This window comes from Homo sapiens, chromosome Y, assembly GCF_000001405.40.
Source record: "Homo sapiens chromosome Y, GRCh38.p14 Primary Assembly".
NCBI classification, from domain to species: Eukaryota; Metazoa; Chordata; class Mammalia; order Primates; family Hominidae; genus Homo; species Homo sapiens.
Window position 1 is genome coordinate 1,188,167 of NC_000024.10, and position 24,483 is coordinate 1,212,649.

Below are 24,483 nucleotides of genomic sequence, written 5' to 3' on the forward strand. Positions count from 1 at the left end.
AGGAGTTTGAGACCAGCCTGGCCAACATGGCAAAACCCCGTGTCTACTAAAAATACAAAAATTAGCCAGGTGTGGTGGCGGGCACCTGTTATCCCACCTATTTGGGAGTCTGAGGCAGGAGAATCGCTTGAACCCGGGAGGCGGAGGTTGCGGTGAGCCAAGATCGTGCCCCTGCATTCCAGCCTGGGTGACAGAGTGAGACTCTGTCTCAGAAAAAAAGATAAAAGAAAACAGAAAAAAAAGAACCTTTGTTTCCGCCCAGAAAGGCAGGGACAGCACAAAGCCAGGAGCAGGTTTCCAGGTAACAGGTAGGTGGGAGACAGATGGTTGCACTGTTTTGAGTTTCTGATAACCTTTTTTGAAGGAGGAGATCAGATGTGGGTCTATCTCACTGAGCAGAGGGGTGACTTTGAGTACAATGGGAGGCAGGTTTGCCTGTAGCAGTTCCCAGCTTGAATTTTCCTTTTAGCTTCCTGATTTGGAAGGGGCCCAAGATGTTTTCCTTCCACGCTATACGCTGTGGAATATACTACACAGCCATAAAAATGAAGGAAATAAGGTTCTGTGCAGCAACCTGGATGCCGCTGGAGGGCATTATCCTAAGAGAATTAACAAAGGAACAGAAAACCAAACACTGCAGGTTCTCACTTTGTAAGTAGAAACTGTATATGTATATGTGTATATATATGTATTTGTATATGTATATGTATATGCATTTGTATATGTATTTGCATATGTATATGTATTTGTATATGTATTTGTATATGTATATGTATTTGTATATGTATTTGCATATGTATATGTATATGTATTTGTATATGTATACATATATATGCACTCTGTAACATTGATAACACACACTATAAGATTGCTATCCACTATTAGCATCTATATATACATCTATATATATAGTGTGTATATATATTTACACTATATATATATCTATACATCCATATATAGTGTGTATATATAGTGTGTGTATATATATAGTGTGTGTATATATATAGTGTGTGTATATATATATAGTGTGTATATATATATAGTGTGTATATATATATATATATAGTGTGTGTGTATATATATACTATAAGGTTGCTGGCCAGGCACGGTGGCTCACGCCTGTAATCCCAGCACTTTGGGAGGCCAAGGCAGGCAGATCACGAGGTCAGGAGATCGAGACCATCCTGGCTAACACGGTGAAACCCCATCTCTACTAAAAATACAAAAACTTAGCCGGGCATGGTGGTGAGCGCCTGTAGTCCCAGCTACTCGGGAGGCTGAGGCAGGAGAATGGCGTGAACCCGGGAGACGGAGCTTGCGGTGAGCCAAGATCATGCCACTGCACTCCAGCCTCGGCGACAGAGCAAGACTCCGTCTCAAAAAAAAGAAAAAAAAAAGATGAAATGCTTTACTCTTTGTTTAAAAAAAAAAATCCTCTGAAAATCAGATGAGATGTCTCAAGCCTGTCATCCTAGCACTTTGGGAGGCTGAGGCGGGTGGATCACCAGAGGTCAGGAATTTGAGACCAGCCTCGTCAACGTGGTGAAACCCCGTCTCCACTAAAAATGCAAAAATTAGCCGGGCGTGGTGGCGGGCGCCTGTAGTCTCAGCTACTCAGGAGGGTGAGGCAGGAGAATCACTTCAACCCGGGAGGCAGAGGTTGCAATGAGCCAACACTCTGCCACTGCACTCCAGCCTGGGCAACAGAGCGAGACTCTGTCTCAAAAAACAAACAAAAAAAATTCCTCTGAGAGCTGGTGGTTGTGGCTCACACCTGTAATCGCAGCACTTTGGGAGGCCAAGGCAGGAGGATCACCTGAGGTCAGGAGTTCGAGACCAGCCTGGCCAACATGGCGAAACCCCGTCTCTACTAAAAAAAAAAAATTAGCCGGGTGTGGTGGCGGCCGCCTGTAATCCCAGCTACTCGGGAGGCTGAAGCAGGAGAATCATTTGATGGGAAGTGGAGGTTGCAGTGAGCCGAGATCGTGACACTGCACTCCAGCCTGGGCAACAGAGTGAGACTCCGTCTCAAAAAAAAAAAAAAAATGCTGGGGACAGTGGCTCACGCCTGTAAACCCAGCACTTTGGGAGGTCAAGGCGGGTGGATCACCTGAGGTTAGGAGTTCAAGACCACCCTGGACAACGTGGTGAAACCCCATCTCTACTAAAAATACAAAAATTAGCCGAGCGTGGTGGCGGGCAGCTATAATCCCAGGTACTCAGGAGGCTGAGGCAGGAGAATCGCTTGAACTCGGAAGGCAGAGCTTGCAGCGAGCCAAGATCGCGCCACTGCACTCCAGCCTGGGCAACTGAGTGAGACTCTGTCTCAAAACAGACAAAAAATCCTCCGAGAATCCAATGCTATGGGAATGGTACATGGACGGAACTGGGGACTCACAGAGTGGGAAGATGGTTTTACAGCATTTTGGACGTGCTGCCTTGGGGTTTATGTGACAACGTTCAGGCACGAAAAGGAACTGGGAGTAAATCTCCTGGAGCAATTGGCTCCCATCTGCCATCAAGCCTTTGAACACAGAGACTCATGTGGGGGAAAGTTAGCAGGGCAGTGGCCGCATTAGGCGGTGAGGCTGGGTCTTCAGAGTCTCCTAGTCCTACCATCATTGGCGTGGAGACTTCCCATCCATGGTGGTGTGGAGTCCCCGGGACAGTCCCCTCTGTCTTTAAATGTCAACGTGGATCCTGACGTTGACTTTGACAGTGGTGTGTCCATCACAACGCCACGTAGGAGCGGTCATTCATCACAAAGGTGAAGCCCCCGATTGTGACCACATCACCGCCTTGGAGGGGCTGGTGGGGAAGCTGGAGGGATCCCCCAGAGGCCTCTTTCTCCTCGGTCTGTGGGTCCAGCATCCTGGGAGACTCGGCTTCAGTCTTGGCCAACTGGACTACCAGGGGCTCCTCGGGGCCACTTTCTTGCTCTGCACCTGCCATCTTGTGGAGGTGGGCCACGTTCTGGGTGTCTGTGATCCACTCCTACCAGGAAGAACATTCTAGCTCAAACACAGTGGACACACCACACACAGCGTCCTGAGCATCCGTACAGACGGTACCCACCACAGACATCCCTGGACATCTTTCTCTTTCTTTCTCTCTCTTTCTTTTCTTTTCTCTTTCTTTCTTTCTTTCTTTCTTTCTTTCTTTCTTTCTTTCTTTCTTTCCTTCTTTCTTTCTTTCCTTTCTTTCTCTTTCTTTCTTTCTCTCTTTCTCTCTTTCTTTCTTCCCAAGAAACAACACCATTCCCAATGGAACAGGAAAGCCCTCTCATCTGGGAGGTCTAAGCCCCTACAAAGCTCTTGTTTGGGGCATCCAGGAGCTCTGACACCAATACCCTTGTAAACCAAAAATAAATTTTTTTTTTTTTGAGACGGCATTTCGCTCTTGTTTCCCAGGCTGGAGTGCAACGGCGTGATCTCGGCTGACTGCAGCCTCCGCCTACCCGGTTCAAGCGATTCTCCTGCCTCAGCCTCCTGAGTAGCTGGGATTACAGACGTGCACCACCACACACGGCTAATTTTGTATTTTTAGTAGAGACGGGGTTTCACCATGTTGGTCAGGCTGGACTCGAACTCCCGACCTCAGGTGATCCACCCGACTCGACCTCCCAAAGTGCTGGGACCAAAGGTGCGAGCCACCGTGCCTGGCCCCCAAAAATAAAATTCTAAGCCCTCCAACAGACTGACGGACTCTCCAGTCAGCCAAGGTGATTCCAAAGTTAAGTTAAAACCTAGTTTGAGCCAGCCGGCCGCAGTGGCTTACACCTGTAATCCCAGCACTTTGGGAGGCCAAGGTGGGTGGATCATGAGGTGAGGAGATCGAGACCATCCCGACTAACATGGTGAAACCCCATCTCTACGAAAAATACAAAAAATCAGCCGGGTGTGGTGGCGGGCGCCTGTAGTCCCAGCTACTTGGGAGGCTGAGGCAGGAGAATGGCGTGAACCCGGGAGGTGGAGCTTGCAGTGAGCCGAGATCCCGCCACTGCACTCCAGCCTGGGCGACAGAGCGAGACTCCGTCTCAAAAAAAAAAAAAAAACAAAAAAAACCTAGTTTGAGCCATAATGGGAAGTCAGAGTTGGACATGCTTCTTTATACCCTCTTCCCTTTGAAATTCTGACACAGCTGACCAGCATTAAAATCAACACATAGGACACAAAAACCAGGCGCGGTGGCTCACGCCTGTCATCCCAGCACTTCGGGAGGCCAAGGTGGGTGGACTTGAGTTTGAGACCAGCCTGGACAACATGGTGAAAAAACCCATCTGTACTAAAAATACAAAAAATTAGCCAGGTGTGGTGGCGGGCGCCTGTCATCCCAGCTACTCAGGAGGCTGAGGCAGGAGAATCATTTGACCCTGGGAGGTGGAGGTTGCAGTGAGCCGAGATCAAACCATTTTTCTTTCTTCCTTCCTTTCTTCCTTTCTTTCTTTCCTTCTTTCTCTCTCTTTCTTTCTTCCTTTTCTTTTTTTCTTTCTTTCCTTTTTTCTTTCTCTTTCTTTTTCTCTTTCTTTTTCTTTTCTTTTCTTTTCTTTCTTTCTTTCTTTCTTTCTTTCTTTCTTTCTTTCTTTCTTTCTTTCTTTCTTTCCTTCCTTCCTCTCTCCCCCTTTCCTCCCTCCTTCCTTCCCTTCCTTCCTTCTTTTTTTTTTTCTTGACAGAGTCTCACTCTGTCACCCAGGCTGGAGTGCAGTGGTACAATCTCAGCTCACTGCAACCTCTGCCTCCACAGTTCAAGCGATTCTCCTGCCTCAGCCTCCAGAGTCGCTGGGATTACAGGAGTGAGCCAGCACGCCCGGCTAATCCTTGTATTTTTAGTAGAGATGGGGTTTCACATGTTGGCCAGGCTGGTCTCGAACTCCTGACCTGAAGTGAGCCTCCCACCTCGGCCTCCCAAAGTGCTGGGATGACAGGCGTGAGCCACTGCGCCCGGCTGTTAATGTCATTCTCTAAAAAGGTCGCGCTCAGAGAGATAGGAATGCAGGCAGAGGGGCACCTGCTTGGTGGAGAGGAGAAGAGACACAAGGAGAGGGCGGATACCTGGAAGTTCCCTTGGTGTATCTCAAAGAGCCCGGGGAAGATGGATTTCGGGTCTGGCACGCTGGGAATGAGAAACTTCTTCACTCTGAAATAGAGACGGAGAGCGTGGTCAGGTCGGCCACAGCCCCGCAGGAAGGGTTGGCAAGAAGCACCTACAGGGCATGGACCCCAGGGACAGACCAAGAATGGCAGAGCGGGGCCTTCCACATGGACACATGTGTCTCCTCCCGCTCCCCAGGGACCCTGCCTCTGGGGTCCTCATAAAGTTCCCATCAGGAGGCCGGGAGTGGTGGCTCACGCCTGTAATCCCAGCACTTTGGGAGGCTGAGGCGGATGGATCACCTGAGGTCAGGAGTTTGAGACCAGCCTGGCCAACATGGTGAAATCCCCTCTCTAATAAAAATACAAAAAAAAATTAGCCGGGCGTGGTGGTGGGCACCTGTAGTCCCAGCTACTCGGGAGGCTGAGGCTGGAGAATGGCGTGAACCCGGGAGGTGGAGGTTTCAGTGATCCGAGATTGCGCCACTGCACTCCAGCCTGGGCGACAGAGCGAGACTCCATCTCAAAAAAAAAAAAAAAAAAAAAATACAAAAATTAGCCAGGTGTGGTGGCGGATGCCTGTAATCCCAGCTATTCGGGAGGCTGAGGCAGGAGAATCACTTGAACCTGGGAGGCAGAGGTTGCAGTGAGCTGAGATCACACCACTGCACTCCAGCTGGGGCAACAGAGCGAGACTCCGTCTCAAAAAAATACAAAAATTAGCTGGGCATGGTGGCGTCTGCCTGTAATCCCAGCTACTTGGGATGCTGAGGCAGGAGAATCGCTTGAACCTGGGGGGCAGAGGTTGCAGTGATCTGAGATTGTGCCACTGCTCTCCAGCCAGGGCAACAGACCGAGACTCCATCTCAAAAAAAATACAAAAATTAGCTGGGTGTGGTGGCGTCTGCGTGTAGTCCCAGCTACTTGGGATGTTGAGGCAGGAGAATCACTTGAACCTGGGAGGCGGAGACTGCAGTGATCCAAGATCACACCAGTGCTCTCCAGCCTGGGCAACAGAGCTAGACTCCGTCTCAAAAAAAACAAAATATACAAAAATTAGCCGGGTGTGGTGGCAGATGCCTGTAGTCCCAGCTGCTTGGGAGGCTAAGGCAGGAGAATCGCTTGAGCCTGGGAGGTGGAGTTTGCAGTGAGCCCAGATCACACCATTGCACTCCAGCCTGGGTGACAGAGTGAGACTCAGTCTTAAAAAAATAAAAGTTCCCACCAGGATAAGGTGTGACGGACAGTGAGCCACGTCCTGTGCACACAGCAGATTTGCATTAAATATGTGATTATTTCCACCTTGTCGATAGGATGGGCTGAAATGGGACCCTCATTCCTGAAAGTTTCTATGTTGAAGTTCTAATCACCGACCTCACAACGAGACTATATTTGGAGATGGGGAGTCTCTAAAAAGGTGATGATAGTAAAATGAGGTCACTAGGGAGGGTTCTGTTTCAACAGGGCTGAGGTCTTTATAAGAAGAGAAGGTTGGCCAGGAGTGGTGGCTCACGCCTGTCATCCCAGCACTTTGGGAGGCCGAGGAGGACGGATCTCCTGAGGTCAGGAGTTCGAGACCAGCCTGGCCAACACGGTGAAACCCCGTCTCTACTAAAAATACAAAAATTAGCCAGGTGTGGTGGCGCGCACCTGTAGTCCCAGCTACTCGGGAGGCTGAGGCAGGAGAATTGCTTGAATCTGGGAGGCGGAGGTGGCAGTGAGCCGAGATCATGCCACTGTACTCCAGCCTGGGTGACAGAGTGAGACTCAGTCTCAAAATAAATACATAAATAAATATATAAGAAAATGACTCAACCTCCCACCTACTGGGGAGGCTGAGGCAGGAGAATTGCTTGAACTCGGGAGGCAGAGGTTGCAGTGAGCCGAGATCACGCCACTGCACTCCAGCCTGGGTGACAGAGTGAGATTCCGTCTCAAAATAAATACAGAAATAAATAAATCAATAAATAAGAAAATGACTCAACCTCACATTTTTGAAAAGTTCTCTGTGGTCTGAAAGAATATTGTTTCGTCTAGAACTCTCACTGGATTCAAAGCCAAAAATTCAGTGAGAGATGGAGCAAAGACAATATTAGATCTTGGACCATTCTTCTTGCTGCCCTCACCAAGTTGCACAGCTTACCTGGACTTCTTTAGCTTTCTTTTTGAGAGACAGGATCGTGCTCTGTCACCCAGGGTGGAGTGCAGTGGTGCAATCACAGCTCACTGCAGCCTTAAACTCCCAGGCTCAAGCCGTCCTTCCACCTCAGCCTCCCAAATAGCTGGGACTACAAGTGCACGCTACTACGCCCAGCTAATTTTATTTTTTCCTTTTTTTCAGACAGAGTTTCACCCTTGTCGCCCAGGCTGGAGTATAATGGTGCAATCTCAGCTCATGGCAACCTCTGCCTCCTGGGTTCAAGCGGTTCTCCTGCCTCAGCCTCCGGAGCAGCTGGGACTACAGGTGCTAATTTTTATATTTTTATAAATATATATATATTTTTATATTATATATATATTTATATAATTTTATATATATTTATATATTATATATTAAATTATATATATTATATATTAAATTATATATTTATATATTTTTATATAGATTAAATTAAATATATATTTTATATAGATTAAATTAAATATGTATTTATATATTTTTATATAGATTACATTAAATATATTTATATATATTTTATATATAAATTAAATATATATTATATATATTTTTATATATTTATATATATAATTATATATAAATATAAATATATATAATTATACACCCGGCTAATTTTTATATTTTTAGTAGAGGTGGGGTTTCTTCATGTTGGCCAGGCTGGTCTCGAACTCCTGACCTCAGGTGATCCACCTGCCTCGGCCTCCTAAAGTGCTGGGATTACAGACATGAGCCACCACACCCGGCAGGGCTAATTTTTTTTTTTTTTTTTTGAGACAGAGTCTCGCTCTGTCGCCCAGGCTGGAGTGCAGTGGCGCAATCTCCGCTCACAGCAAGCTCCGACTCCCAGGTTCAAGCAATTCTCCTGCCTCAGCCTCCCGAGTAGCTGGGATTACAGGTGCACGCCACCACACCCGGCTACTTTTTGTATTTTTATTAGAGACGGGGTTTCACCATGTTGGCCAGGATGGTCTCGATCTCTTGACCTTATGATTCACCTGCCTTGGCATCACAAAATACTGGGATTACAGGCGTGAACCACCGTGCCTGACCCTAATTTTTGTATTCTTAGTAGAGATGGGATTTCACCATATTGGCCAGGCTGGTCTCGAACTCGTGACCTCGTGATCTGCCTGCCTTGGTCTCCCCAAGTGCTGGGATGACAGGTGTGAGCCACCATGCCCAGCCCCTCCGAAATTTCTTATAATCCACCATCAGAAGAGTGGGCATTGTATGGAAACTGAGGCCCAGGGAAATGACTCTATCAGGCGATTAATCTTTTTTCGTACTTCACAGACATTGTGCAAGCAGGTCCCTCCACCCACGGGCGGCAGGAGTCATCCTTACCTCCATAATTTCCATAAAGACAGAAGGAGGAGAGACACCATCAGAAGGATGGCCAGGCTGGAAATTAAAATAAATTTGGACAGCTTTGGTTTGGGAGGCGTTGGTGTCTCTGCACAGGCATCTGAAACAAAATGAAAAGGCGGCTGTCAGTTTTCAACATGACGTGCGGCTGTACGTTTTCAACGTGATGTTACATCTCATCCCTAACCAGTCTCCCTCATTTTTTGGTGTTCGTTTTTTTTTCTTGGTTCTCGTTGTTTGTTTTTTGTTTTGTTTTTGTTTTTTGTAAATATTCGTGTCAGCAAATCTTTTACTTTTTTTTTTTTTTTTTGAGACAGAACCTCACTCTGTTGCCCAGGCTGGAGTGCAGTGGCTCCATCTCAGCTCACTGCAACCTCCGTCTCCCGGACTCAAGCGATTCTCCTGTCTCAGCCTCCCGAGCAGCTGGGATGACAGGCATCCGCCACCACACCGGGCTAATTTTTGTATTTTTAGTAGAGATGGACCTATTTTTTTTTTTTAATGAATGTTAGTGTCAGCAAATTTTCATTCCTATGGAAAATATCCTGGAAAGAGACACCGTGTCTCTGGACAACAACACATCCCACAGCCACCCCGAGGAAGTAAGGGCAGGTCCAACATGTAGCCTTTGGAGGCTTCTGGTTGCTGGAGGTGTTTACAGCATATGAGAGCTTGCTTTCGTGTGTTGGTGGCTGTGCTCCTTAAATCATGCCCCCTGAAAACATACGTCAAAGGCCGGGCGCGGTGGCTCACGCCTTTAATCCCAGCACTTTGGGAGGCCGAGGCGGGCGGATCACAAGGTCAGGAGTTCGAGACCAGCCTGGCCAATATGGGGAAACGCCATCCCTACTAAAAATACAAACATTAGGCGGGCTTGGTGGTGCGTGCCTGTAGTCCCAGCTACTTGGGAGGCTGAGGCAGGAGAATCACTTGAACTCGGGAGGCGGAGGTTGCAGTGAGCCAAGACCGTGCCACTGAACTCCAGCCTGGACCACAGACTGAGACTCCCTCTAAAAAAAAATAAAAATAAAAAAATAAAAAATAAAAAGATTTAATCAGGTGTGGTGGCGTGTACACTGTAATCCCAGGCACTCGGGAGGCTGAGGCGGGAGAATCGATTGAACGTGGGAGACAGATGTTGCAGGGAGCCGAGATCGCGCCACTGCACTCCAGCCTGGGCACCATGAGAATGTTTCTCAAAAAAACAAAAGAAAGAAAACTCTCCCAAGTGAAAGCAGCCCGAGAATGAAACAAGGAGAGGAATTACTTTCAGATGGGGCCCTGGAGGATGACAGAAGGCTGAGCTTGCTCAGACACACCCTCCTGGGAAGGCAGGACACCCTCCCTCCCACCTCGAAGGCAGGACACCCTCCCTCCCACCTCCCAGGAAGGCAGGACACCCTCCCTCCCACCTCGAAGGCAGGACACCCTCCCTCCCACCTCCCAGGAAGGCAGGACACCCTCCCTCCCACCTCCCAGGAAGGCAGGACACCCTCCCTCCCACCTCCCAGGAAGGCAGGACACCCTCCCTCCCACCTCGAAGGCAGGACAGCCTCCCTCCCACCTCCCGGGAAGATAGGACACCCTCCCTCCCACCTCGAAGGCAGGACACCCTCCCTCCCACCTCCCAGGAAGGCAGGACACCCTCCCTCCCACCTCGAAGGCAGGACACCCTCCCTCCCACCTCCCGGGAAGGCAGTGGCTATGCCTACTCCAGCCTGGTGACAAGGCTATGGGACACTGCCGCGTAACAAGCATTACCCCGAATCTCGCCTCTCTGCCAGCATGTCACCTCTGACCAGTCGCTTGGGTATGTGTCTGGCCCATATACATCCTCCATAGCCTTCACCCTGACCCAGAAAGAGTAACACTTCTCGGCATCCAAGCCTTCTATGGTGACGTTGCAGGTATTTTCCTGTTTGGACTGGAGAAACATACACACACACACACACACACACACACACACACACACACACACACACAATGATTAGTGATGTAACCTGTCTGTCCAGAGTTTTCCTTCCGGAGGGTTCACAGTCTCGCTGACTTCAAGAATGGAGCCGCGAGGCCGGACACAGTGGCTCACTCCTGTAAACCCAACGCTTTGGGAGGCTGAGGCGGGTGGATCACCTGAGGTCGCAAGTTCGAGACCAGCCTGGCCAACATGGAGAAACCCCGTCTCTACTGATAATACAAAAATTAGCCAGGCGTGGTGGCGGGTGCCTGTAATCCCAGCTACTTGGGAGGCTGAGGCAGGAGAATCGCTTGAACCTGGGAGGCGAAGGTTGTAGCAAGCAGAGATCGCACCACTGCACTCCAGCCTGGGTGACAGAGCGGGACTGTGTCTAAAAAAAGAAAAAGAGATGGGGTCTCACTCTGTTGCCCAAGCTGGTCAACAACTCCTGGGCTCAAGCGATCCTCCTGCCTTGGCCTCCAACAGTACTGGGATTACAGGCATGAGCCACTGTGCCTGGCCTGTATTTACTTTATTATTATTTTAATATATTATTTATTTATTTACTGAGACAGAGTCTTGCTCTGTTGCCCAGGCTGGAGTGCAGTGGTGCGGTCTCGGCTCACTGCAACCTCTGCCTGTCGGGTTCAAGCAATTCTTGTGCCTCAGCCTCCCGAGTAGCTCGGATTACAGGCACCACCATGCTTGGCTAATTTTTGTATTTCTAGTAGAGATGAGGTTTCACCACGTTGGCCAGGCTGGTCTTGAACTCCTGACCTCAGGTGATCCACCCTCCTCGGCCTCCCAAAGTGCTGGGATTAAAGGTGTGAGCCACTGCATCCAGCCTGTATCTACATATCTTTACAGATATAAATGGATATAAAGATACAGATGAATGTTCTATTCTATGTATCAGTTTATACATATATAGTTTATATATGTTTGTAGATATATGTACCAATAAGATATCTCTATATGTATATTTATATATGTGTGTATATATAAGCTGTATATATAAGGTGTGTATATATAATTGTGTATATATAAGTTGTGTGTATAAGGTGTGTGTATATCTGTGTGTATAGAAGCTATGTATATAAGATGTGTATATATGTGTATATATAAGCTATGTATCTATATGTGTGTGTATATATGTGTATATATAAGCTGTGTATGTAAGGTGTGTATATATGTGTATATATAAGCTGTGTATATTAGGTGTGTATATACGTGTGTATATATATGTGTATATAAGCTGTGTATATAAGCTCTGTATATATGTGTGTGTATATATGTGTGTATATAAGGTGTGTATATATGTGTATATGTATTGTATATAAGCTGTGTGTGTATATATATAAAGTTTGTGTATCTATACATGTGTGTATATACATGTGTGTATATATACCTGTATATAAGCTGTGTATATAAGCTGTGTATATGTGTGTATGTGTGTGTATATACGGTGTGTGTATACGTGTGTATAAATATGTGTATATAAGCTGTGTATATAAGGTGCATATATATGTGTATATATACGTGTATATAAGCTGTGCACATATGTGTGTATATATATGTGTGTATATAAGATGTGTATGTACATGTGTATAAATATGTGTATATAAGGTATGTATATATGTGTGTGTATATGTGTATATAAGCTGTGTATATGTGTGTATATGTGTTTATATAAGGTGTGTGTATACGTGTGTATAAATATGTGTATATAAGCTGTGTATATAAGGTGCATATATACATATATATACGTGTATATAAGCTGTGTATATATGTGTGGGTATATATATGTGTATATAAGCTGTGTGTGTGTATATATGTGTGTATATAAGATGTGTATATACGTGTGTATAAATATGCATATATAAGGTATGTATATATGTGTGGGTATATATATGTGTATATAAGCTGTGTGTGTGTGTATATGTGTGTGTATATAAGATGTGTATATACGTGTGTATAAATATGCATAGATAAGGTATGTATATATGTGTGTATATAAGCTGTGTATCTATATGTGTGTATATGCATGTGTATATATGTATATATAAGCTGTGTACACAAGGTACGTACATATATGTGTGTGTATATGTGTGTGTGTACACACACATATAGGTAGATATACAGTCATGCATTGCTTAACGATGGGGACATGTTCTGGGAAATGCATTGTGAGGTGATTTCTTCATTATGAGAATATTCTAGAGTTTACTTACACACACCTAGCTGGTCTAGCCTGCTGCACATCTAGGCTGTATAGTAAATTGCTCTTCAGCTACACACCCATACAGCATGTTACTGTACTGAATACTGCAGACAAACCTAATGCAAGGGTAAGTATTTGTGTATCTAAACATAGAGAAGGTACAGGAAAAATATGGTATAGAAGAAAATAATTGGGACAGCTGCATAGGACAGCTGTGTGATAATCATAGGAGACTACCGTGGTACATGCAGTCTGCTGATGACCAACAGGTCGTTAGGCAGCACATGACTGTGTGTGTGTGCCTGTGTGTGTCTGTGTGTGTCTGTGCATGTCTGTGTGTGCCTGTGTGCCTGTGTTTGTGTGTCTGTGTGTGTGTGTGTGTAGAGAGACAGGTGTGTAGAGATACAGGTAGAGATAGGACTAGAGGTAGACAGATAAAGAAATGATAGATACATAGATAAAACAGAGAGATGACAGAGTTGATAGATGATACATAGACAGATGATAGAGAGATAGATAGATGATACATAGATGATAGAGCGATGAGAGAGAGATAGATGATACATAGATGATAGAGTGATGAGAGAGAGATAGATGATACATAGATGATAGAGCAATGATAGAGAGATAGATGATACATAGACAGATGATAGAGAGATAAATAGATGATACATTAGATAGAGAGACAGACAGACAGATGATACAGAGTAGATAGATAGATGATACTTAGATAGATAGAGACGGATAGATGATAGATGTATAGATACATACATAGATAGATAAATACATAGATAAGATAGTAGATGGTAGAATAGAGATAATGGGTAGGTAGTTAGATAGAGATGATAGATAGTTGAACTACATAGAGATAGGGATGATATATATAGAAGATTGACCATACATAGATAGATAAAAGAGAGTTGGTAGATAAAATAGATATGGATAGAGCCATAGAGAGATAGATAGAACAAAGAGAGTTAATAGATAAAATAGATGATAGATTGAAAGACAGAGATAGAGATAAAATAGAATGAGATAGATTGAAAGACAGGGATAGAGATAAAATAGAATGAGATAGATAGATGATAGATTGAAAGAGAGGGAAATAGAATGATATAGATACATAGATAGAGGTAGAGATAAAATAGAATGATATAGATAGATTGATAGATAGATAGATAAATAGATTGATAGACAGACAGACAGACATATTATTGGTTCTCTTTCTCTGGAGACCCCTCAGAGACACAGAGAGAAACATGAAAAAGCCAAGCTGGACTAGAGCTCTCTCAGGAAGATACAGCAGAGTGGAATTCAGGAAGGTGTAGACAGAGGGGAGCGAGGTCTGATGAAACAGCGAATCCCACAGCCCGCACCTGGGGGACGCTCAGCCACCATCGCCCTGAGTCGCGGCCGCCCGGCTCACCTGCCACTCGGTGTCGAAGGGGCTCCGGTACTGAACCTCATAGAGGAGATCCCCGTAGGACAGGTCAGAACACGTCACCGTCACTGCATCCTGATGCCACGAAAATCTCACGTGCTTCGGGGAACTGGGTTTCACTGAGAAGAAGAAATAACGGAAGCGACGTCCCTCCTCTCTGAGCTGATTGTGACAGGCTGACCTCATCCCCTTTCTCTAGCCTGTACCCCTCCTCCCCTTAATACCTTATGGTGTCTCGGGGTTCACCCGTCCTCATTACTTTTATAGGAGAAGCTTCCACCAGAGCTCCGAGAACCTGTAGGTTTGTGAAGGAAGGAACTCTCTAAAATTCTGCGGAAAATGTCCTGTGTGTCTGTTACGGGCTAAATTAAGTCCCCCACAAAAATATATGTTAAAATCCCAACTCCCCAGAAACTCAGAATGGAACTGTATTTAAAAATAAGATCCTTTAGAAGGCCGAGGCGGGTGGATCACCTGAAGTCAGGAGTTCGAGACCAGCCTGGCCAATATGCTAAAACCCCGTCTCTACTAAAAATACAGGCATGGTGGCCAGCGCTTGTAATCCCAGCTATTAGTGAGGCTGAGGCAGGAGAATCGCTTGAACCGGGGAGGCGGAGGTTGCGGTGAGCCGAGATTGAACCACTGCCCTCCAGCCTGGGTGACAGAGCGAGACTATCTCAAAAAAAAAAAAAAAAAAAAAAAAAAGGATCATTATAGATTCAGTTAGTTAGGATCATTATAGATTCAGTTAGTTAGGATGAGGTCATACTGGAGAAGGAAGGGTTCTAAATCCAATGACAGGTGTCCTTCTCGGAGACAGAGGAGGAGATGCAGACACAGAGGAGGAGGCCACGTGGAGACGGAGGCAGAGACTGGAGTGATGGGGCCACAAGCCCAGGGATGCCTGGAGCCCCCAGGAGCTGGGAGAGGTAGGAAGGAGCCTCCCCTAGAACCCTGGAAGGAACTGAATATAATTATACTGAATGGAACAGTGGCCCCCAGAAACATCTGTCCACATCCTAAAGCCCAGGACCTGGAATGAGACCGGATTTGGAAATAGGCTCTCTGCAGATGTAATTAGGTGAAGGACCTTGAGGTGAGATCATCCTGGAGTAGGGTGTCCCCTAAATCTAATGACAGGTGCCCTTGTAAGAGACAGAAGAGGAGACACAGAGGAGAAGGCCACATGGAGACGGAGGCAGAGACTGGAGTGATGCGGCCACAAGCCCAGGGACACCTGGAGCCCCCAGGAGCTGGGAGAGGCAGGAAGGATCCTCCCTTAGAACCTCCAGAGGGAATGCGGCTCTCAGAAATCTCCATCTCAGACTCATGGGCTTCAAAACTGGGAGAGAATAAATTTCTGCTGTTTTAAGCCTCCAGTTTGTGGTGACCTATTATAGCCCAGGAAACGCACCCAGTATCTGTAAGTAATTTCGCGAATAAAGAGTTCATAGTTCTCACCGGATTCTCAAACAGATCCGTTTCCCCTACCTCTAAAAAATAAAAAAGTAAAAAAGAAACCCAGCCTTACAGAATTCTAGGATAAAGAATAAACATTTTGGAAACAGGGTTTCCCTACATTTGTCCCTCATTTCCTCGCCCGAGACTTAACAGCCAGTTCTCAACGCACATAAGAAAACCAGCCTGGGCAACAGAGCAAGACCCTCTCTCTCAAAAAAAAGAGAGAACATCCAGTGAGTGGGATGAGGATGAGAGAGTATTTCCAGCTCACTCTGTGTGTGTGTGTGTGTGTGTGTGTGTGTGTAGGCAGGGCACCAGAGAGCATCTCTAATTAATTCCCTTATTTAATTTAATGAATTTATTTATTTGAGATGGAGTTTCACTCTTGTTGTCCAGGCTGGAGTGCAATGGCGCGATCTCGGCTCACCACAAACTCCGCCTCCCAGATTCAAGAGATTCTCCTGCCTCAGCGTCCCGAGTAGCTGGGATTACAGGCATGCACCACCAAGCCCGGCTAATTATGTATTTTTAATAGAGATGGAGTTTCTCCATGTTGGTCAGGCTGGTCTCGAACTCCCCACGTCACGTGATCCCCCTGCCTTGGCCTCCCAAAGTACTGGGATTACAGGGGAGAGCCACCGCCCTGGGCCTTATTTATTTTTAAATAATAAATTTATAAATCGCCCAGGCTGCAGTGCAGTGGCACCGTCTTGGCTCACTGCAGCCTCCGCCTCCCGGGTTCAAGCAATTTCCCTGCCTCAGCCTCCCGAGTAGCTGGGATTACAAGCGTGTGCCACCACGCCTGGCTAATTTTTTTTAAATTATTTTTAATAGAGACGGGGTTTCACCACGTTGGCAAGGCTGGTCTCGAACTCCAGACCTCAAGTGATCCGCCCGCCTTGGTCTCCCAAAGTACCGGGATTACAGGGGTAAGCCACCACCCTGGGCCTTATTTATTTTTAAATAATGAATTTATAAATCGCCCAGGCTGGAGTGCAGTGGCACCAACGTGGCTCACTGCAGCCTCTGCCTCCCAGGTTCAAGCAATTTCCCTGCCTCAGCCTCCCGAACAGCTAGGATTACAGGCATGCGCCACCAGCCCGGCTAATTTTTTGTTTGTTTGTTTGTTTGTAGAGATGGGGTTTCACCATGTTGGTGAGGCTGGTCTCGAACTCCAGACCTCAAGTGATCCGCCCGCCTTGGCCTCCCATAGTGCTGGGATTACAGGCGTGAGCCACCGCGCCCCGCCTTTAATTCATTCCCTTAAATCACAGTCTCCCGGGGTCATCTGGTCTCCCCACTGGGGGCAGATTCAATCCCCAACCAGTGTGCGTGTAAGAGGGAACTTCCTGGAAGGCCGGTTTCTTCCCACTTGGAGTGAGGAGCTGGGCACCGGGCTCTAGTGGCCAATGGTCCATGAGCTTGATTTTCAGAACTTAACTGAAAGTAACTGAAGGTAAGGAGATGAAGGGGTACTGAAAAGTGTGCTGGGATTGCTTTTCAATCGTTACGGTAATCATTGATCCCGCGACTTGCGAGAGCTTGCTTTTCGGTACTTATGATAATCAGCTGAAGGAAGTACTGAAAAGCATGCTGAGCTTGCTTTTCAATTGTTATGGTAATCATTGATCCCGCGACTTGCGAGAGCTTGCTTTTCAGTACTTATGGTAATAAGCTGAAGGAAATACTGAAAAGCATGTTGAGCTTGCTTTTCAATAGTTACGGTAATCATGGATCCGGTTATTTGCATGAGCTTTTTTATTTATGGCAATAAGCTGAAGGAAGTAGTGAAAAGGATGCTGGGCTGCTTTTCAATAGTTACGGGAATCTGATCCTGCGACTTGCTAGAGCTTGCTTTTCAGTACTTATGGTAATAAGCTGAAGGAAGTACTGAAAAGCATGGTGAGCTTGCTTTTCAATAGCTACGGTAATCACTGATCCAGTGACTTGCATGAGCTTGCTTTATCAGTACTTATGGTAATAAGCTGAAGGAAGTACGAAAAGCATGGTGAGCTTGCTTTTCAATAGTTATGGTAATCATGGATCCGGTAATTTGCATGAGCTTTTCAGTACTTATGGTAATAACCTGAAGGAAGTAGCGAAAAGTAGGCTGGGTTGCTTTTCAGTGGTTACGGTAATCATTGATCCAGCGACTATCATGAGATTGCTTTTCGGTACTTACGGTAATCAGCTGAAGGAAGTAGTGAAAAGCGTGCTGAGCTTGCTTTTCAATTATTACGGTAATCATGGATCCGACGATTTACGTGAGCTTTTCAGTACTTACGGTAATAAGCTGAAGGAAGTACTGAAAACTATGCTGAGCTTCCTTTTCAATAGTTACGGGAATCATTGATCCCGCGACTGGCTGGAGCTTGGTTTTTCGTTACTTACAGTAATAAGCTGCAGGAAGTACTGAAAGGCATGGTGAGCTTGCTTCTCAATAGTTAACGGTAATCATGGATCCGGCGATTTGCATGAGCTTGGTTTTCAGTCCTTGTGGTAATAAGCTGAAGGAAGTACTGAAAAGCATGGTGAGCTGGCTTTACAATACTTACGGTAATAAACCATCCAGCGACTTGCGGTGAAAACGGGGTGCGTCCCATTCCTGATGGAGAAATAGAGAATGTCGTCTCGCTGCTCTGCGTCTAGGAGGCACCCCGAAGTGTGACCTTCCTGGAGAAGGTAGTTGGTGCACTGGTCATAGGCCTCATCACCGTTGAATCTGTGGTTTAAAACGATGACCATTCAGCAACAAAACAAAAAAGCATGTCTTATTTATTTAGAGATGGGGTCTTGCTCTTGTCGCCCAGGTTGGAGTGCAATGGCGCGATCTCAGCTCACTGCAACCTCTGCCTCCCGGGTTCAAGCAATTCTCCTGTCTCAGCCTCCTGAGTAGCTGGGATTACAGGCACCTGCCACCATATACAGCTAATTTTTGTAGTTTTACTGGAGACAGGGTTTCACCATGTTGGGGCCAGGCTGGTCTGGAACTCCTGACCTCAGGTGATCCATACACCTTGGCCTCCCAAACTGCTGGAATGAGAGGTGTGAGCTACCACACCGGCTTTTTTTTTTTTTTTTTTTTTAAGATGGTGTCTCGCTCTGTCCCTGAGGCTGGAGTGCAGTGGCACGATCTCGGCTCATTGCAATCTCTGCCTCCCGGGTTCAAGCGATTCTCCTGCCTCTGCCTCCTGAGTAGCTGGGATTACGGGCACGCACCACCACCCCCAGCTAATTTTTGTGTTTTTAATAGAGATGGGATTTCGCCATGTTGACCAGGCTGGTCTCGATCTCCTGACCTCAGGTGATCCACCCGCCTCGGCCTCCCAGAGTGCTGGGATTACAGGCGTGAGCCACCGCGCCCGGCCGTTTTTTTATTTGTTCGTTTGTTTTTTGAAACAGAGTTTTGTTCTTGTTGCCCAGGCTGGAGTGCAATGGCGTGATCTCGGCCCACTGCAACCTCTGCCTCCCGGATTCAAGCGATTCTCCTGCCTCAGCCTCCCAAGTTGCTGGGATTACAGGCGCACGCCCCCGCGCCCGGCTAATTTTTTTGTATTTTTAGTAGAGACGAGGTTTCACCATGTTGGCCAGGCTGGTCTTGAACTCCTGACCTCAGGTGATCCACCCCCCCCCCCCTCAGCCTCCCAAAGTGCTGGGATAACAGGCATGAGCCAACACCCCCCCCAAGAACTGCCCCTTTTACAGAGGAAGAAACTGAGCTGAATTCTGCAACTACGTGCAAAATCCAGCACTTTTTTTTTTCTTTTTGTGAGGTTTTTGTTTTGTTTTGTTTTGTTTTTGAGACAGTCTCGCTCTGTCGGCCAGGCTGGAGTGCAATCTCGGCTCACCGTGAACTCCGTCTCCCAGGTTGAAGCGATTCTCTTGCCTCAGCCTCCTGAGTAGCTGGGATTACAGGCACCTGCCGCCACGCCCGGCTAGTTTTTGTATTTTTAGTAGAGTTGGGGTTTCACCATGTTGGCCAGGATGGTCTGGAACTCCTGATCTCAGATGATCCACCCACCTCGGTCTCCCAACGGTGAGTCTTATTTTCCAAATAACTTCGTTTTAAAATTTCCCTGTTCTGTACGCTTTGCCGTTTATCTCTTTTGTTATCAAACTGAAGAATCATCCACCCATGATTAAATTTATTGGAAAAACCCTTCCTGCAATGTTCGTACGCATACTTCTGGGTGTCTAACTAAGCCAAAGTAAAAATAAAAATAAAGTCACATCAGGGAGACACAGGGTTGGGGGTAGCCCCGGGTAAGGCTGTGAAATGTTTCAGAGACTGAGTCTTTCCCTCCCCGGCTGCCTAGCAGATAAGACTTAAAGTTCACCCAGAGCTCTGGGTGAACAAAACTCTCTGTTAATCTCCCGTGAAGAATCTAGGTGATTTTCAGTCCGGATGCCGTGGCTCACGCCTGTCATCCCAGCACTTTGGGAGGCTGAGGCAGGTGGATCACATGAGGTCAGGAGTTTGAAACCGGCCTGACCAATATGGTGAATCACCATCTCTACTAAAAATACAAAAATTAGCTAGGCATGGTGGCAGGTGCCTGTAATCCCAGCTACTCGGGAGGCTGAGGCAGGGGAATGGCTTGAACCCGGGAGGCAGAGGTTGCAGTGAGCCGAGATTGCGCCACTGCACTCCAGCGTGGCAACGGAGTGAGACTCCGACTCAAAATAAAAACAAACAAAAAAAAGAATGTAGTTGATTTTGACAGTGAGTCAGCCATCCCTTGGCAAGAAGGTTTGGGGCAATGAGATTGTGGTTGTGGTGAGGGCTGAGGGTTTCACAGAACAAACATTCCGGCTTGCACAGTCTGATGCTTTACACTTTTGTTCTCAAGCATTCCCAATCGCTGACGGCTCAGAAGAGCGATTTTGAGCCCCCTGGGCGTGGGGTTCGCTTTCTGGGGGCCACTTACCTGTAGTGGAAAGTCAGGTTGGTCCTGGAGTATTTGCTGGCATTCCATGTCACCTGCACGGTTTCTAAATTGAAGTAGATGATCTGAATCTGTACTCCTTCTGCTAGACACAGAGAGACGCATGAAGTTCACGGTGAGGCAACTCTATTTTTTTATTTTTTTAAATTTATTTTTCTTTTTGAGACAGAGTCTCACTCTGTTGCCCAGGCTGGAGTACAATGGCACGATCTCGGCTCACTGCAACCTCCGCCTCCCGGGTTCAAGCGATTCCCCTGCCTCAGCCTCCCGAGTAGCCGGGATTACAGGCACCTGTCACCACACCTGGCTAATTTTTTGTATTTTTAGTAGAGACGGGGTTTCACCGTGTTAGCCAGGATGGTCTCGATCTCCTGACCTCATGATCCACCCGCCTCGGCCTCCCAAAGTACTGGGATTACAGGCGTGAGCCACCGCGCCTGACGTATTGTATTGCATTGTATTGCATTGTATTGTAGTGTAGTGTAGTGTAGTGTAGTGTAGTGTAGTGTAGTGTAGTGTATTGTGTGAGACAGACTCTCACTCTGTCACCCAGGCTGGACTGCAGTGGCGCAATCTCGGCTCACTGCAAGCTCCGCCTCCCGGGTTCACGCCATTCTCCTGCCTCAGCCTCCCGAGTAGCTGGGGCTACAGGTGCCCGCCACCATGCCTGGATAATTTTTTGTACTTTTAGTAGAGATGGGGTTTCACTGTGTTAGCCAGGATGGTCTCGATCTCCTGACCTCGTGATCCGCCCGCCTCATCCACCTAAAGTGCTGAGATTGCAGGCGTGAGCCACCGCGCCCGGCTGCTTTTGTTTTTGTTTTTGCAAAAGGTAAGTTCACCCACTAGTGCCATGCACAGATGTATCTGTATAGATCAATCATGTATCCAACAACACATCCCCTGTGGATACCTAAGGTGGCATCGGAAACTGTCCCCATCGATCCACCTTACTGTCTTTCTCAAAACACCACACACACCAACTTCAGAAATGGACTGGCCAGGTGCAGCGGCTCACGTCTGTAATCTTAACACTGGGAGGCCGAGGCGGGTGGATCACCCGAGGTCAGGAGTTCGAGACCAGCCTGGCCAACATGGTGAAACCCCGTCTCTACTAAAAACACAAAAAAATGAGCTGGACATGGTGGTGGGTACCTGTAATCCCAGCTACCTGGGAGGCTGAGGCAGGAGAATGGCTTGAACTCAGGAGGCAGAGGTTGTAGTGAACCGAGATCGTGTCACTGCACTCCAGCCTGGGTGACACAGCAAGACTCCCTATCAAAAAAAAAAAAGAAAAGAAAAGAAAAGAAAAGAAAAGAAAAGAAATGGGCCAACCGTAAAGAAGACTTTCTACGTTTGCTAGGAAGGTTGCATAGACTTCAGTAGGTTTGATGTTTCAAGAGGTCTGGGTTTGTAATTCCGAACAGGGACAATGGAAATATTTTAGAATTGAGCAAACATGTAATGATATTTTGCATAATGAAAGCCAAGTCTCTTTTTTTTATTTTGAGACAGAGTCTCGCTCTGTCGCCCACGCTGGAGTGCAGTGGTGCGATCCCGGCTCACTGCAAGCTTTGCCTCCCGGGTTCATGCCATTCTCCTGCCTCAGCCTCCCAAGTAGCTGGGACTACAGGCACCTGCCACCATGCCCGGCTGATTTTTTGTATTAGTACAGACGGGGTTTCACCGTGTTAGCCAGGATGGTCTCCATCTCCTGACCTTGTGATCCGCCCACCTCGGCCTCCCAAAGTGCTGGGATTACAGGCATGAGCCACAGCGCCCGGCCAAGTCTCTCACTGTCAAAGAAGTCAGTTACAGGTTTGGAAAGATGGGGTACAGTGAACCTTGTCATGTTGGGTTCTAAGTGGAGGTATCTGGAGGATAGATAGATACAGATAGATAGATAAATGGTAATGTTAGATAGATAGAATTATATAGATGATGATAGAAATAGTTAGACAGACAGACACAGATAGATAGGGATGGGTAGGTAGATGGATGAATCAATGGACAGGTGGGTGTATAGGTGGAAGACAAGTGGATGGGTGGGTGGATGGGTGAGTGGATGGATGAATAAATGGATGAACAGATACACAGGTGAATGGGTGGATGGGTGGATGGATGCATGGATAGATGGATACATAGATGTGTACATGGATGGGTGGATGGATGGATGGATGAGTGGATGAAAGTGTGGGTGAATGCATAGGTGGATGGATGGTTTGATGGGTGGGTGGATGGATGTGTTGGTGGATGGATGGATAGATGGATAAGTGGATGAAAGGATGGGTGGGTGGATGAGTGAGTCAGTGGATAAATAAATGGATGAACAGATACATAGGTGAATGGATGGATGGATGGATGGATGGATGGATGCATGGATAGATGGATACGTAGATGTGTACATGGATGGGTGGGTGGGTGGATGGATGGGTGGATGGATGGATGGATGGATGGATGGATGGATAAGTGGATAAAAGTGTGGGTGAATGCATGGATAGATGGATGTATTGGTGGGTGGATGGGTGGATGGGTGGATGGATGGATGGATGGATGGATGGATGGATGGATGGATGGATAAGTGGATAAAAGTGTGGGTGAATGCATGGATAGATGGATGTATTGGTGGATGGATGGGTGGATGGGTGGATGGATGGATGGATGGATGGATAAGTGGATAAAAGTGTGGGTGAATGCATGGATAGATGGATGTATTGGTGGATGGATGGGTGGATGGATGGATGGATGGATAAGTGGATAAAAGTGTGGGTGAATGCATGGATAGATGGATGTATTGGTGGATGGATGGGTGGATGGATGGATGGATGGATAAGTGGATAAAAGTGTGGGTGAATGCATGGATGGATGGATGTATTGGTGGATGGATGGGTGGATGGGTGGATGGATGGATGGATGGATGGATAAGTGGATAAAAGTGTGGGTGAATGCATGGATAGATGGATGTATTGGTGGATGGATGGGTGGATGGATGGATGGATGGATAAGTGGATAAAAGTGTGGGTGAATGCATGGATGGATGGATGTATTGGTAGATGGATGGGTGGATGGGTGGATGGATGGATGGATGTATTGGTGGATGGATGGGTGGATGGGTGGATGGATGGATGGATGGATGATAGATGGGTGGATGGGAGGATGGATAGATAACAGCTGGGTGGATGGTGGATGGATGGATGAGTGAATGAAAGGTTGGGTGGACGGATGGCTGGGTGGGTTGATGGGTGGGTGAATGTATGAGTGGATGAATCGTTTGATAGATGGGTGGATGGATATATTAGTGGATGGATCAATGAATAATAGATGGATGGATAGTGGATGGATGGGTGATTAATGGGAAAAGATAGATGAGATACATTGATGGATAGATTAAAAATGAATATATCTACCAATCAATCAATCAATAGATAGACACACACACGCACACATACAGTTCCTAGTTCTGGCCACCGAAAGCTCATATAAGCAGTGGATATTCCGGGAGCAATAAGTATACTTAATATTCATGTATTTACTTATAAATATGTTTTGTCCCAGCTACTTGAGAAGCTGAGGCAGGAGAATTGCTTGAACCCGGAAAAAAAAAAAAAAAAAAAAGAAAAGAAGAAAGAAACCTCCATGCTCATTGTTTAAGTTTTACAAAATAAAGAGTGCCTGGTTGCAAAGCAAACCACAAACCAAAATACAACAAGAAGAGGGTGTTTAAATAATTACCTGCTCCTCCTTGCCCCAAAGCCATCCAGCCTCCCAGCAGAAAGACGGCAGCTCCCCACAGCAGAACCAGCCGCCCCATGCCTGAAACAGGAGT

The 24,483-nt window shown here is 46.7% G+C and overlaps 1 protein-coding gene across 4 annotated transcripts, besides 4 other annotated features; it reads right to left on the minus strand.

Moving 5' to 3' along the window:
- Positions 2,324 to 24,483, minus strand: CRLF2 (cytokine receptor like factor 2). Of its 4 annotated transcripts, none has more exons than NR_110830.2 (8): positions 24,390 to 24,483; positions 20,640 to 20,739; positions 18,267 to 18,433; positions 14,236 to 14,369; positions 10,635 to 10,979; positions 8,614 to 8,734; positions 5,052 to 5,136; positions 2,324 to 2,994 (listed from the first exon to the last, which is right to left on the minus strand). NR_110830.2 is itself a non-coding variant. In XM_011545634.3 (8 exons), exons 1-8 carry the CDS (start codon positions 24,466 to 24,468, stop codon positions 2,731 to 2,733), a joined length of 1,113 nt encoding a protein of 370 aa, XP_011543936.1. In that variant the 5' UTR covers positions 24,469 to 24,483; the 3' UTR covers positions 2,324 to 2,730. The 4 variants fall into 4 exon arrangements, 3 of the variants coding, with proteins under 3 accessions (XP_011543936.1, NP_071431.2, NP_001012288.2); XM_011545634.3 differs by lacking the exon at positions 10,635 to 10,979 and adding an exon at positions 10,396 to 10,558; NM_022148.4 differs by lacking the exon at positions 10,635 to 10,979 and adding an exon at positions 10,396 to 10,558 and having other exon boundaries at positions 20,640 to 20,742.
- Positions 16,346 to 17,195: an enhancer, noted in NCBI's record as "NANOG-H3K4me1 hESC enhancer chrY:1273405-1274254 (GRCh37/hg19 assembly coordinates)". NCBI's record gives its function as "activates a minimal SCP1, AML or CMV promoter by ChIP-STARR-seq in primed H9 embryonic stem cells {active_cell/tissue: H9 hESC(primed)}" and the evidence as "EXISTENCE:reporter gene assay evidence [ECO:0000049][PMID:30033119]".
- Positions 16,346 to 18,043: a biological region, named in NCBI's record as "hESC enhancers GRCh37_chrX:1324089-1324592, GRCh37_chrY:1274255-1275102 and GRCh37_chrY:1273405-1274254".
- Positions 17,030 to 17,533: an enhancer, noted in NCBI's record as "NANOG hESC enhancer chrX:1324089-1324592 (GRCh37/hg19 assembly coordinates)". NCBI's record gives its function as "activates a minimal SCP1, AML or CMV promoter by ChIP-STARR-seq in primed H9 embryonic stem cells {active_cell/tissue: H9 hESC(primed)}" and the evidence as "EXISTENCE:reporter gene assay evidence [ECO:0000049][PMID:30033119]".
- Positions 17,196 to 18,043: an enhancer, noted in NCBI's record as "OCT4-NANOG-H3K4me1 hESC enhancer chrY:1274255-1275102 (GRCh37/hg19 assembly coordinates)". NCBI's record gives its function as "activates a minimal SCP1, AML or CMV promoter by ChIP-STARR-seq in primed H9 embryonic stem cells {active_cell/tissue: H9 hESC(primed)}" and the evidence as "EXISTENCE:reporter gene assay evidence [ECO:0000049][PMID:30033119]".